Here is a 13,018-nt window from a genome sequence, read left to right on the forward strand (position 1 = left end):
CTACAGGTGCGCATCACCACGTCCGGCTAATTTTTGTATTTTAGGTAGAGATGGGGTTTCACTCTGTTGGCCATGCTGGTCCCGAACTCCTGATCTCAGGTGATCCACCTACCTCGGCCTCCCGAAGTGCTGGGATTATGGGCATGAGCCACCATGCCTGGCCTGTTTGTGTTTTAAACTGTCTAAAAGATATACAGTAATATACTTAGGAATTCTGTGTTGTCTCTAACAAATATATAAGCTAATTTTTGCATGTTGATGACTTTGTTCCTTCTATTTGTCATATTGCTTTTGGAAATTGTTATATTCTTATTCTTAATTTTAGGATAAAATAATGAGAGTAATTTACTACTGCAATTAGTTTGGTCACTTAGTCCACAGATTTATTTAACAAATACTCAAATGCTTGTTTTGTATTTAATAAAAGCAGGCACTCTTATAGTCACTAGTAATGTGGGTCTCATGGAATTTGCCTCCTAATGGCAATAGAAAGTAAACAGATACATATACCATGCCATATGGGCATAAAAGCTATGAAGAATGTTAAAACAGAGTATGGCAATAGAGTAGTAGTTGGATAGGAAATTGCATGTAAGAGTGAGAGAGTGAGAGAAAAAGAGAGACAATGTGTATGGTATTTTCAATATAAGGGACCTAAGAAAGGCTTCCATGATAATAGCAATACAGAACCCTGAGGACTATATTTTGTGAGTTCTAGGAAAAGAAATATGACCATTGTTGTTGGAGTGCTGTGAATATAAGGGAGAGTGGTAGGGAGGGAGATCCAAAGAGGTAGCTGGGTGCCAGGCATGGTCGCTCAAACCTGTAATCCCAGCACTTTGGGAAGCCAAGGCAGGTAAATCAGTTGAGGCCAGGAGTTTAAGACCAGCCTGGCCAATATGGTGAAACGCTGTCTCTACTAAAAATACAAAAAGTAGCTGGGTGTGGTGGTGCACACCTGTAATCCCAGCTACTCAGGAGGCTGAGGCAGAGAATTGCTTGATCCTGGGAGGCGGAGGCTGCAGTAAGCCAAGATTACGCCCCACTGCACTCCAGCCTGGGCTACAGAGTGAGACTCCATCTCAAGAAGAAAAACAGAGGTAGAGGTACCTGGGAGCTGGATCATGAATGCCTTTATAAAAGGTCAGGCATGGTGGCTCACATCTGTAATCCTAGCATTTTGGGAGACTGACGCAGGAGGATCACTTGAGCCCAGGTGTTCAAGACCCACCTGGGCAATATAGGGAGACCTCGTCTCTATAAATAATAAAAAAAAATTTAGCTGGACATGGTGGTATGTGCCTGTGGTCCCAGATACTTGGGAAACTGAGGTGGGAGAATCACTTGAGCCCAGGCGGTTGAGGCTGTAGTGAGCCGTGATTGTGCCACTGTACTCTGGCCTGGGTGACAGAGTGAGACCCCATTTCGGAAAAAAAAAAAAAAAACTTTCATGCTACGTGAGATGGGAAAGTGTTAGCAGGTTTGAATACAGGAGTGATGTGGTATAATTTATATTTTACAAAGATTACTTTGACTTCTGTATTTAGAATGATGGTTGTGGTGGGGAGGGCAGTGATAGATTGGTTTTAGTTTGGTTGCTGTTGTGCTGATTCAGGAATGCTGATGGTAGCTTGGACCATTGTGATAGTGATGGAGGTAGTGAAAAGAGTCGTTAGATTCTGGATATAATTTGGAGGTACAAGGAATAGAATTTGCTGATGTATTGAACATATTGTGTGACAGGGGAGAATAAAGGATAGCTTTCAGGTTTTGGCCTGAGTTCACTGAAAAATGAAGTTTCTGTTTACTGAGATTTGGAAGTGGGTTTTTTCATAATGAGTTTGAGATGTCTAGTAGACATTTGGATATGAGCCTTAAATTTAGTGGAGGAGTTTGGAGATTTTCATTTTCCAGCATATATATAGCATTTAAAACCCAAGAATGAATATATATAAGAAATACAATAAATTGTTGTTTTGAAATGAAGATTCTGGGACCCTACTCATAGATCTAGGGTGGGTACCAGGAATTTGCACGTAATTCACATTAAATTGTTCACACTTTGAGGAATAAGAATGTATTGGTATATGCAAGTCTCAAGGCAGGTGTAGATTTCTAAAGTAAGATTATTCATTGCCCTTTGTTTAACCTTCTCCATTGGGAGCTATTTTCTCTCTTGATCCCATTGAGAAACACTAGATTTTGTTGGAAGCTGCAAAGCAAAAAGTAGGAAAGGTGACCTTAATGATAATATGGTTGTGGCTGAAGAAAGATTTTTGCTTTATTTAGCATTTTTCCCCTTATTTGACAGCAACAGCTGGGATGAACATGTATTTGAATTAGTACTACCTAAAGCTTGTATGGTTGGACATGTGGACTTCAAATTCGTTTTGAACTCAAACATCACCAATATTCCACAGATACAAGTGACACTGCTGAAAAATAAAGCTCCAGGATTAGGGAAAGTCAATGGTAAGAATGTATCAAAATTTATCTTTGAAGATTTTATTTTGTGGTTGATTTCTGAAAACTAATTTTCACCTTGGCTAAGTTTCGTGTCCCTTTCTGTCCCTTGTTGCCATTTGCCTGCTTTACTTTTTGTGATTTTATTTAAAAAAGTAATTCAGAGAACATTTCAGAACTTTTCAGTAACCCAGTAATGTTCAGAATTGCATAAACTTGAATCATATAATTATACTTTTTTGGAAGTGAGATTAGTTCCTTTGTAAATTAGTTTGACTTTTAGCATTACTAGCTTTATGTATTTCTTTTCCTAGGAGAAGACTTAATTGTGAATAGAACTGTTATGGAAGTTACTTTTAAGGTTATTAGTGAAGCCAGCCTTTCATGTAATGCTAAAAATACACTCATTTTTATCTTTCTTACAAGTTCAGAATTTGTTGCATTGAGTTATTAAAGTAGATTATACACATTTAGCATGGTTAGAAACTAGATGTTACTACTGAGTGTTTTCTCCTTAATAAGTTAGTTTAAGAGGCTGGGGATAATTTCACGGTAAAATGGCAACTTAACCCCAGTTTCAAACATTGAAACTTGAAAATTTTCCTTTTTGAAAAATTACATATACGCCTGGCACTCTCTATCTGTGGGTTTCACATCCCAGGAGTCAACCAACCTCAGAAACAACCAATCGTGGATTGAAAATACTTTGGGGGGGAAAAAATAAAAAAAATTACGACAGTAAGAAAATATACAAATAAAAAATAGTATTAGACCACATGTGGTGGCTCATGCCTATAATCCCAGCATTTTGAGAGGCCAAGGCAGGAGGATCACTTTAGCCCAGGAATTTGAGACCAGCCTGGGAAGTATAGCAAGCACATGTCTACAAAATTTTTTTAAAAAAATTAGCTGGGTGTAGTGGTGCACACCTGTGGTGCTACTCAGGTGGCAGTACTCATGAGGCTGAGGCAGGAGGATCACTTGAGCCCAGGATTTGGAGGTTACAGTGAGCTATGACTGCACCACTGCACTCCAGCCTAGGTGACAGAGTGAGACTCTGTCTGAAATAAATAAATAGTATTTGCATGGCATTCACATTGTATTAGGTTTTATTAGTAAACTAAAGATGATTAAAAGTATACGGGAGGATATGAATAAGGTTATATACAAATATTATGCCATTTTATATAAGGGACTGGAACATCTGTGGATTTTGACATCTGTGGGGGTCCTGGAACTAATCCCCCACAGATACTGAGGGATGGATGACTATATGTGTGTCTGTATATTTATGTGAGTCTGTGTGTATATGGATATGTTCATATGTGTGCAGTCTTTTGACAGATTTTGAATTAATTGGGTGGAGGACTCAGGATTTGGTAGTTTCAAAGCTCTGCAAGTGCTTGTACCAGGCAGCCTAGGGTAAGAACTTTTAGTTTAGTTGCCAGCAGATTGTTTCTTTAGGCAAATATTTTATTACCGTTAAAAGAGAGAAGAATGTATAAAACAATTGAATCAAAATTTTCCTCCAATCATTTTATAGCATCTGTGATGAAAATCACAGAAGTTCCCAAGTTAACAGGAAATTTTAGATTTTTCAGGCACATAAATCATTGATATTAAAGAAAATTAAGTTTACTAATATTTTTATCCTCTAGAAACAGCAGTAGATAGGCAGATCACCTTTCCTTTGTCTCCAGCTCTTAACATTGAAGTGGAACAAAATGGGAAACCGTCCCTGGTTGATTTGAATGAAGAAATGCAGCACATGGATGTAGAGGAATCACAGTGTGAGTTAAATTATAGAGCTGTTGTCCATGACAGTAAAAGGAGTAGTGATCTGAATGCAACATGTCGGGCAAGATTTCCTTATGGCTTGCAAAAACTTGGTTTCAAGAACACAATTAAAAAATAACCTATAATTCTGCTTTGGCAATATGCTTTAACTTTCAGCTCATCTTTTGTGACCACAGCTGCGCTAATGCATTCTTGGTTTTTAATACCTTGGGATTTGAAATCAAGTCGTGGTTTATAATTTTTTTGAAAATAAAGGTGAACTGTAAAATAATATGGGAATGGAAAGCAACATAACAAATAATTGATTATAGTTCCTTAGCATGACAATTCTTATTTTAACACATTCTAAGTATGATATTTTGTGTGGTGGTATTATATGTAAATGGGATGATATTTGCTTATTAAATATTACATTTTAAATGAATGAATTTAAAAGAAAAATATGTATTTTTCTTTTTAGGTCTTAGATTATGTCCATTTTTGGAGGATCATAAAGAAGACATTCTATGTGGGCCAGTATGGCTTGCTAGTGGCCTTGATCTATCAGGGCATGCTGGAATGTTGACGTTAACAAGCCCCAAACTTGTTAAAGGTGAAGTAATACATTTTACAAAAGCAGAATTAATAATACCACAGTTGTAAAAAAGACGAAAAAAAACTGATCTCAAAAAAAATAAGATTGTTTTCTTTGGGACTTTCGTTCGAAATTTCATCAGTTTTCTGGTAGCTGAGGTCATTTCCTGTCATAAAGTAACTAACTGTATGGTTATCTGATCCTACTTTTTGTGTCTTAAGAGGTCTCAGTGCTTTTTGAAAAAACGTTGAAGAAATGACTACAGGATGACTTAGTGTGACATAACAGAGCTCTTTTGAGTAAGCAGACATAATGTTCTGCCATTTTTACCCTTCCCATCACATCAGAGTCCCGTCTCTTCAGAGTTTTATTATATATTATTACAGTATCTTCCCTTAAAAGAGGTATTTTGTTTGTTTGTTTTTGTTTTTTTGAGACAGTCTCATTCTGTCACCCAGGCTGGAGTGTAGTGGCGCTATCTTTGCTCACTGAAACCTCCGCCTCCTAGGTTCAAGTGATTCTCTTGCCTCAGCCTCCCAAGTAGCAGGGATTACGCCCAGATAATTTTTGTAGTTTTAGTAGAGATGGGGTTTCACCATGTTGGCCAAGCTGGTCTGGAACTCCTGACCTCAAATCATCTGCCCACCTTGGCCTCCCAAAGTGTTGGGATTACAGGCGTCAGCACCGCACCTGGCCAAGAGAGGTTTTTTTTGTTTTTTCTTTTTTTTTTTTTTTTTTTTGAGACAGAGTTTTGCTCTGTTACCCAGGTTGGAGTGCAGTTCTGTTATCTCAGCTTGCTGCAACACCCGCCTCCCAGGCTCAAGCAGTTCTCGTGCCTTAGCCTTCTGAGTAGCTGGGACTACAGGCGTGTGCCACAATGCCTGGCTAATTTTTTATTGTATTAGTGGAGGCGGGGTTTCATCATGTCGCCCAGGGTGATGTGGAACTCTTGAGCCCAGCCACTCTGCCTGCCTCGGTCCCCCAAAGTGTTAGGATTGCAGACGTAAGCCACCGCTCCAGGCCAAAAGAGGATTTTTATTAGAAGAGCTTCGCCAGTATCATATACAATGATTTGAGTGTCATAAACAAATGCAGATTATAATGAATGTTTTGAGATAATGGGCTATCATGTTGATAATTTAGAAATATCAGTGGTAGGACGTTTTCAGCTTTTGTATTCTGGGGGTAAATAAAAAAAACCAACACAAAATGACTAGTTCAATTGTTAAAGAAATTTGGGGTGGGGTGGGATGTAGAGATCCTTCTCCAACCCAAGAAAATAACTGACCAACTATATATCAGCTATTTACATTTGTGTACATTTGCTTCCTAATGTTTGTCCACATTCACACATAACCATTTAATTGCAGACATAGTACAGGTCAAGTATCCCTTATCTGAAATGCTTGGGACCAGAAGTGTTTCAGATTTCAGATTCTTTTCTGGTTTTGGAATATTTGTGATATACTTAACTAGTTCAGTATTCCTAATCCAAAAATCCAAAATATGAAATGTTCCAATGAGCATTTCCTTTTAGCATCATATCGGCTCTCAAAGAGTTTTGCATTTTAGAGCATTTTGGATTTTCAGATTAGGGATACTCAGCCTGTATATATGCAAGTTTTGTGCTTTCTTATTGTCATTAGGTTTTCGAGATGTTATGTGTTAGGTTTCATGCTGGGATACAGTAGTGAACAAAAACTAATCTCAAATTGTTTAGATTATAGGTTTTGTTCAATGAGAGTGTGCATCTTAAATTTTTAGGTGGAAATAGAAATATTGGTGTTTTTAAAAATTTTTTATTTTTTAGAGACACAGTCTCCCTGTGTTGCCCAGGCTGGTCTCCAACTCCTGGGCTCAAGGGATCCTCCTACCTTGGCCTCCCAAAGTGCTAGGATTACAGGTGTGAGCCACCACGTCTGGTCAAAAATACTGATTTTGACAAAATGGAGTGTAGAATTACATGGCATGTGTTTGGAAAGTATTAATTTTCTTAGAATATACTAAGATATTTTTTTCCATAAAATTCTCCCCAGCATCTTTGAAACTGAATAAGATAAGTGCTAAGTTTTTTTGGACGAGTAAAGGGGTAACATTGGCCAAAGAAATTTTGAAACAGAATGTCAGATACCACAACACAGAGAATAGTACAGTAGTGTTAAGAAAAATGTAACAGTGTAGTGCTAGCACAGCAGGCAGGTAGCTAAGTAGAGTGATAGCATTTATAATCATGAAAGATTTAATACCTGGTAATGCAACAATAGACTGATAGTTTGCTGGCAGATGTAGTAATTTAATGATAATTAAGAAATGTATTTTATATATAGATTGTATAGTATGATCCCAATTTGGTTAATATCACATACTAGTGATAATAATTATTTGAGTGTTCTTTTTTTTTTTTTTTTTTTGAGACGGAGTCTTGCTCTGTCGCCCAGGCTGGAGTGCAGTGGTGCCATCTTGGCTCACGGCAAGCTCCGCCTCCTGGGTTCACGCCATTCTCCTGCCTCAGCCTCCTGAGTAGTTGGGACTACAGGCGCCCGCCACCACGCCCCACTAATTTTTTTTTGTATTTGTAGTAGACGGGGTTTCACTGTGTTAGCCAGGATGGTCTCGATCTCCTGACCTTGTGATCTGCCTGCCTCACCCTCCCAAAGTGCTGGGATTACAGGCGTGAGCCACTGCGCCCGGCCTATTTGAGTGCTTTCTTTGTGCCAAGCACAGTTAACAGTGGTTTAGTTGACTCTGAGGTAGGAAATATTACTCTTATTTTACATTAGAAGAAACTGAGCCACAGAGAGGATAATTTGTCATGTGCCTAATAAATGGCAGAGCCATTTTTCAAACCCAGGTAGTGACTCCAAAGCCTGCATGCACATTTTTAACCGTCAGTACTATAATGCTATGTGTATATGTGCACATATATATGGATGTGTGTACATGTATGCATAAGAAGACTGGATGGATATACGTTCTGTTATTATCTAGATGATAGCTTAATGACAGTTTTGTGTGTGTGTGTGCGTGTGTATGTGTGTGTGTAGTTGATGACATTTTTACCATTAAAATGAATAATATTGGGGAAAAAACATGCCAAATGTTTATCTCAATTAGTCAAAGATAATGGTTTTATGCTATTCATATCATTCCTTTGTTGGTTGTTTTTTGCTGACAGCGTGTGAAGGTGGTTCAACTTTCTTCTGCTCAAACAGTATAATTTGAAAGTTCTGGCCTACTGTACTTTTTGTGGAGTTAGTTGTTGATCTTGTTCTATGAAGATGAAAAACAGTGGAATTTATTGGTGATTCAGTTATTTTCCCCATTCTACTCCACTTCTCTAGGTATGGCAGGAGGAAAATATCGTTCGTTTTTAATCCATGTCAAGGCAGTGAATGAAAGAGGAACAGAAGAGATTTGTAATGGTGGTATGCGTCCTGTAGTAAGGCTTCCATCCCTAAAACACCAGAGTAACAAGGGTTATTCACTTGCTTCACTTTTGGCTAAAGTTGCAGCAGGCAAGGTATGAAACTGTCATTTTGAACAATAACAATACAGTTTTAAACATTGTGGATCAGATTTAACACACTATTAGAAGTAGTATGACCTTTCAGTGATGTTTTACTATACGCTTGGTTTGTTTGTATTTTGTCTTTGGAGTGACTTAAATATATTTGGGAAGAAGAATGTTTGAGTTAACTTTATTATTTCATTTTATTTATTTTAGAGTTTTGAGACGGGGTCTCACTCTTTCCCCCAGGCTGGAATGCAGTGGCGCAAACTCGGCTCACTGCAACCTCTGCCTCCCAGATTCAAGCCATCCTCCCACCTCAACTTCCCTAGTAGCTGGGATCACAGGCGTGTGCCACCATGCCCAGCTAATTTTTGTCTTTGTAGTAGAGACGGGGTTTCACCATATTGGCCAGGCTGGTCTCAACTCCTAACCTCAGGTGATCTGCCCACCTTGGCCTCTCAAAGTGCTGGGGTTACAGGCGTGAGCCACTGCACCCAGCCTGAATTAACTTTAGGCAAATTACCTAGCTTTTGTAATGTATACTGAATAGGGAGTAATTGTTAGCAGATATTTCCCTTTATAATTATTTTAGACCATAATATTTATTTCTTTTGGTATGAGAGTTTCTTCATATGCCCTCTGTTGGCAACTCACAATCTTGTTTTTGGTGACTATTTGGGAGTATACAGAAAGAGAAGTTGGGGCGTAATTTTAAGACAGGTTCTAATCCTCATGGTTGATTTTCTGAAAGTAGCTGTGAACCATGCAGCTCCTTACAATTGACTTATCTTGGATTTCCTGGAAGTCAGGAAGGAGGTTTTGTTTATCATCATTATTTATAAGGAATCATACTGATACTGATCAGTAATACCAGGCATTTTACATATATATAGGTCTTCCAGTTTTTCAAGGACTTCTGTGTACTTTATCTGATGTAATCTTCATTATAACTCTGAAGTAGGCATAGCAGGTTCTGTTACCTCCCTTTTTTAAATACTGAAAGTGAGTGAACCTTAGCGATTGGGGAGCCTGACATATCTCACGTAGTTATTTTATTTTATTGTGTTTATTTATTTATTATTATTATTATTATTATTATTATTGAGTCAGAGTCTTGCTCTGTTGCCCAGGCTGGAGTGCAGTGATGTGATCTCAGCTCACTGCAGCCTCCACCCACTGAGTTCAAGTGAATCTCTTGACTTAGCCTCCCAAGTAGTGGGATTAAAGGCACTTACCCATGCTTGGCTAACTTTTGTATTTTTTGGTAGAGATAGGGTTTCACTGTGTTGGTCAGGCTGTTCTCGAACTCCTGAGTTCTGTGATCTGTCTGCCTCGGCCTCCCAAAGCTCTGGGATTACAGGCCTGAGCCACTGCACCCAGCGGAATTAGACCCAGGACTTTGGTTTTATCATCTGTAATCATTGGGTTATTGCCTTTAAAATAGTGGCTGTGTCTGTCTTTTTTTCCCCTATTATAATTCTGGAGAAAATTAGTCATTTACTGAATATGAGGGTACAAGCTATCATTTTAACTTGAGATTTATATTTTGATGGCCACAATTCAGTTATTTTCCTTTATTTTATAACTTCAATGGTAAATGATTTTTAGTTTAGTTTATTTTTTAAAATTCATTATTATTTGTAATGTTTAGGAAAAATCATCTAATGTTAAGAATGAAAATACAAGTGGCACCCGTAAATCTGAAAACCTCCGGGGCTGTGATTTACTTCAAGAGGTCTCAGTCACCATTCGAAGATTTAAGAAAACCTCAATTTCTAAGGAAAGGTAATTTCATTGCATTATCTTGTTATTCTTACAGTAATGAAAGTGCAGAGCATAACACCACACACATACACACACAAATAAAAAATCTTTTACCTGAAAATTTTTTTTGTCCATTTTTCTTAAATAATTATAATTTTGATGAGAATATGAGTTGTCTTTATACTTCATTGGTTTATCTCTAGTGTCCGCACAGTGCTTGTTGTATAGCAGGAATGGATGATAGTTATTAATTTGACACGTACTCGTCAGGCAAGGGAGCATGTATCTATAGTCCTAGCTACTCAAGACGTGGGGGTAGGAGGATCACTTGAACCCAGGAGTTTGAGTCCAGCCTGGACAACAGAGGGACACCCAATCTCTGGAGAAAAAAAACAAAACAAAAAGAAATTATACACATTCCATGTTACATTACAACACATTATTGTAAATGTTATTAAAAAATTTTCTACAAATGAAATACTTGACATATAGCTATTGATTGTTTTTAAATGTACTTGAGATGTTCATGAATTAAAATTAAACATTGCCTTTCCAGCCAGGTTGTGATAGCTTTAGTTGTTCTGTTTTGTTTGGTAATGTGTTTATATTTTCTTTTTTTGTAGAGTGCAACGATGTGCCATGTTACAGTTTTCAGAATTTCATGAGAAGCTTCTTAATACTCTTTGCAGAAAAACAGATGATGGCCAGATCACAGAACATGCCCAGAGCCTTGTGTTGGATACTCTCTGTTGGTTAGCTGGAGTTCATTCAAATGGACCCGGAAGGTTAATAATTAAAATTTTGCTTACCACTGTTGATTGCCTTTTAGATGTTATGATTGAAAGTTCAGGATGAGTCTAAATGTCTGCTATTGTTTTGCAGCTCAAAGGAAGGAAATGAGAACCTACTTTCAAAAACACGAAAATTTCTGTCAGACATCGTACGTGTTTGCTTCTTTGAGGCAGGACGAAGTATAGCCCATAAGTGTGCCCGATTTCTAGCCTTGTGCATTAGGTTGGTATGTTTTTAAGTTGAAAGCATACTTTCTAGGTACACCTGCAATTTAGTGGGTGATACCTTGTTTATAGTGTGATTTGATCCTTGTTTAATGTATGTATAATTTAAGAGAATTTCAAAAGTTGATGAAGATTGTTGATAATCTTAGCAAGAATTTTGGGTTCTTAGGGGAAAGTGTCATGTTAAATAAGTCTATTTAACTTTTAAGAAAAGAAGTCTGCTGAGCTTCTCTGCCTGTTAGTAGCAGTTTGGAGAATTTGGCAAGGGAACTCTTAAACCCTTTTCACTCCTACTTTCCTTGGTTGTCTTTTCTTGCCCTAAAGTGTTTTCTCTGTTATGTAACAATCTTACCGACTTTTTTTTGTAGCATTGTGCAGACCCTTTTTTTCTAAACCCTGAAACAAATTAGAACAGTCTGCCCTGATCCCCAGGGCATGTGTCCCAAGACCCCTCCCCTCCCCAGTGGAGACCTGAAACTGTAGCTAGTACTGAGCCATATATATAGTATTGTTTTTTCCTATATATACATACCTGCAATAAAGTTTAATTTATAAACTAGGCATAGTAAGAGATTAACAATAACTACTAATAAAATAGAACAGTTATAATAATATACTATGATAAAAGTTACATGAATGTGGTCTCTCAACATGTCTTATTGTACTGTACTCACCTGTGTTTAGACTGCACTTGACCATGTGTAACTGAAACTTTAGAAATTGAAACTGCATATACGGGTTCTTAATGTTTAAAGGTTCCTACTTGCTACTGTATCTAGGAAGTGTCTAAGAGCTAATGGTCAGTATTGACTGTTGTAAAGATAAGGGTTTAATGCATAAGAAAATATTTACAACCCTCCTTAGTATAATCAGTTCCCGCTATCTTTTGGTATTTTATATAGCTTTAAGGCAGGTTTTTCTTTTAATCGGTATAGAATACATTTTAAAGATTTTTAGGTACCACACCAGGTTTAGGGTTGAATTTAGACCTTGAGTAATGTCTTTACAATTTTTCTTTTTAAAAATTTTTCAGTAATGGCAAATGTGACCCATGTCAACCAGCATTTGGACCTGTTCTGTTGAAGGCTTTACTTGATAATATGTCATTTTTACCTGCAGCAACAACTGGTGGTATGTAAAATTAATTTAATCACAAATAGTTATAGTCATATGGAACATCTCATATGTATACTTAGGATTATTTCATAACTACTTTTTCTCTATTAAAGTTCACTTTTCTGTGGCTTATCTGTATTTTTTGAAGGGATCGATAGATTGTAGCTGGGTGGTCATATACTCCGTCAATAGTACTCCAAGGAAAAGGTTCATGGAGCAGTTACGTTAATATCAAGTCATCTCAATTCATAACTATTTTTCTGTACTTCATTACAATCATTGAGTTGTTTGGTTGTTTACTGACTGTAACAGATCAGATGCCAGAAACCAGAATTCCAGCATGTGCCAGGGAGGTGACATAAATAAGTAAAACGGTCCAGGTGTCATTGCACATGCATATGTTTTGTGTGATTGGTAGGGACTATGGCAAACTGGAATTTCCTAAAAGGGACCAGTGGTTTTTTTTTTTTTTTTTTAAAGCACCTGAGGACTCTGTGGAAATGCCTTTCAAGAATGAATGTAATTGGAGGTAGAGAGTAGAATGATGGATACCAGAGTCTGGGAGGGTGAGTGGGATTTGAAGAGAGGTTGATAAATTAGTATGAACATATGGTTAGAAGAAATAAGTTCTAGTGTTTGATAGCACAGTAGGGTGACTGTAATTTGTGGTATATTTCAGAATAGTTAAAAGATTTAAAGTGTTCCCAATGCAGAGAGGTGATGGATATCCTAAATACCCTGGTTTGATCATTGTGCATTGCATCCATATTTCAAAAC

The 13,018-nt window shown here is 37.4% G+C and overlaps 1 protein-coding gene across 50 annotated transcripts in view, besides 1 other annotated feature; it reads left to right on the top strand.

Annotated features, from left to right (window-relative positions):
- BIRC6 (baculoviral IAP repeat containing 6) overlaps positions 1–13,018 on the top strand; it is a 261,856-nt gene that overhangs the window by 74,310 nt on the left and 174,528 nt on the right. For 22 of the 50 annotated variants that reach the window (XM_006712055.4, XM_005264451.5, XM_047445167.1 and 19 more), the window contains exons 13-20: positions 2,312–2,472; positions 4,122–4,253; positions 4,721–4,852; positions 8,176–8,354; positions 9,997–10,130; positions 10,733–10,894; positions 10,992–11,123; positions 12,159–12,256. In XM_006712055.4, the coding sequence (XP_006712118.1) occupies positions 2,312–2,472; positions 4,122–4,253; positions 4,721–4,852; positions 8,176–8,354; positions 9,997–10,130; positions 10,733–10,894; positions 10,992–11,123; positions 12,159–12,256 (1,130 nt within the window). The remainder of the gene's footprint in view (positions 1–2,311; positions 2,473–4,121; positions 4,254–4,720; positions 4,853–8,175; positions 8,355–9,996; positions 10,131–10,732; positions 10,895–10,991; positions 11,124–12,158; positions 12,257–13,018) is intronic. The other 28 variants (XM_005264452.5, XM_005264453.5, XM_047445163.1 and 25 more) reach the window with 2 other exon arrangements.
- Positions 5,663–5,888: a silencer, noted in NCBI's record as "fragment chr2:32662063-32662288 (GRCh37/hg19 assembly coordinates)". NCBI's record gives its function as "represses an EF-1alpha promoter that drives an FKBP-Casp9 reporter gene in an ReSE screen in K562 erythroleukemia cells {active_cell/tissue: K562}" and the evidence as "EXISTENCE:reporter gene assay evidence [ECO:0000049][PMID:32094911]".

Source organism: Homo sapiens, chromosome 2 (genome assembly GCF_000001405.40).
Source record: "Homo sapiens chromosome 2, GRCh38.p14 Primary Assembly".
Classification (NCBI taxonomy): Eukaryota; Metazoa; Chordata; class Mammalia; order Primates; family Hominidae; genus Homo; species Homo sapiens.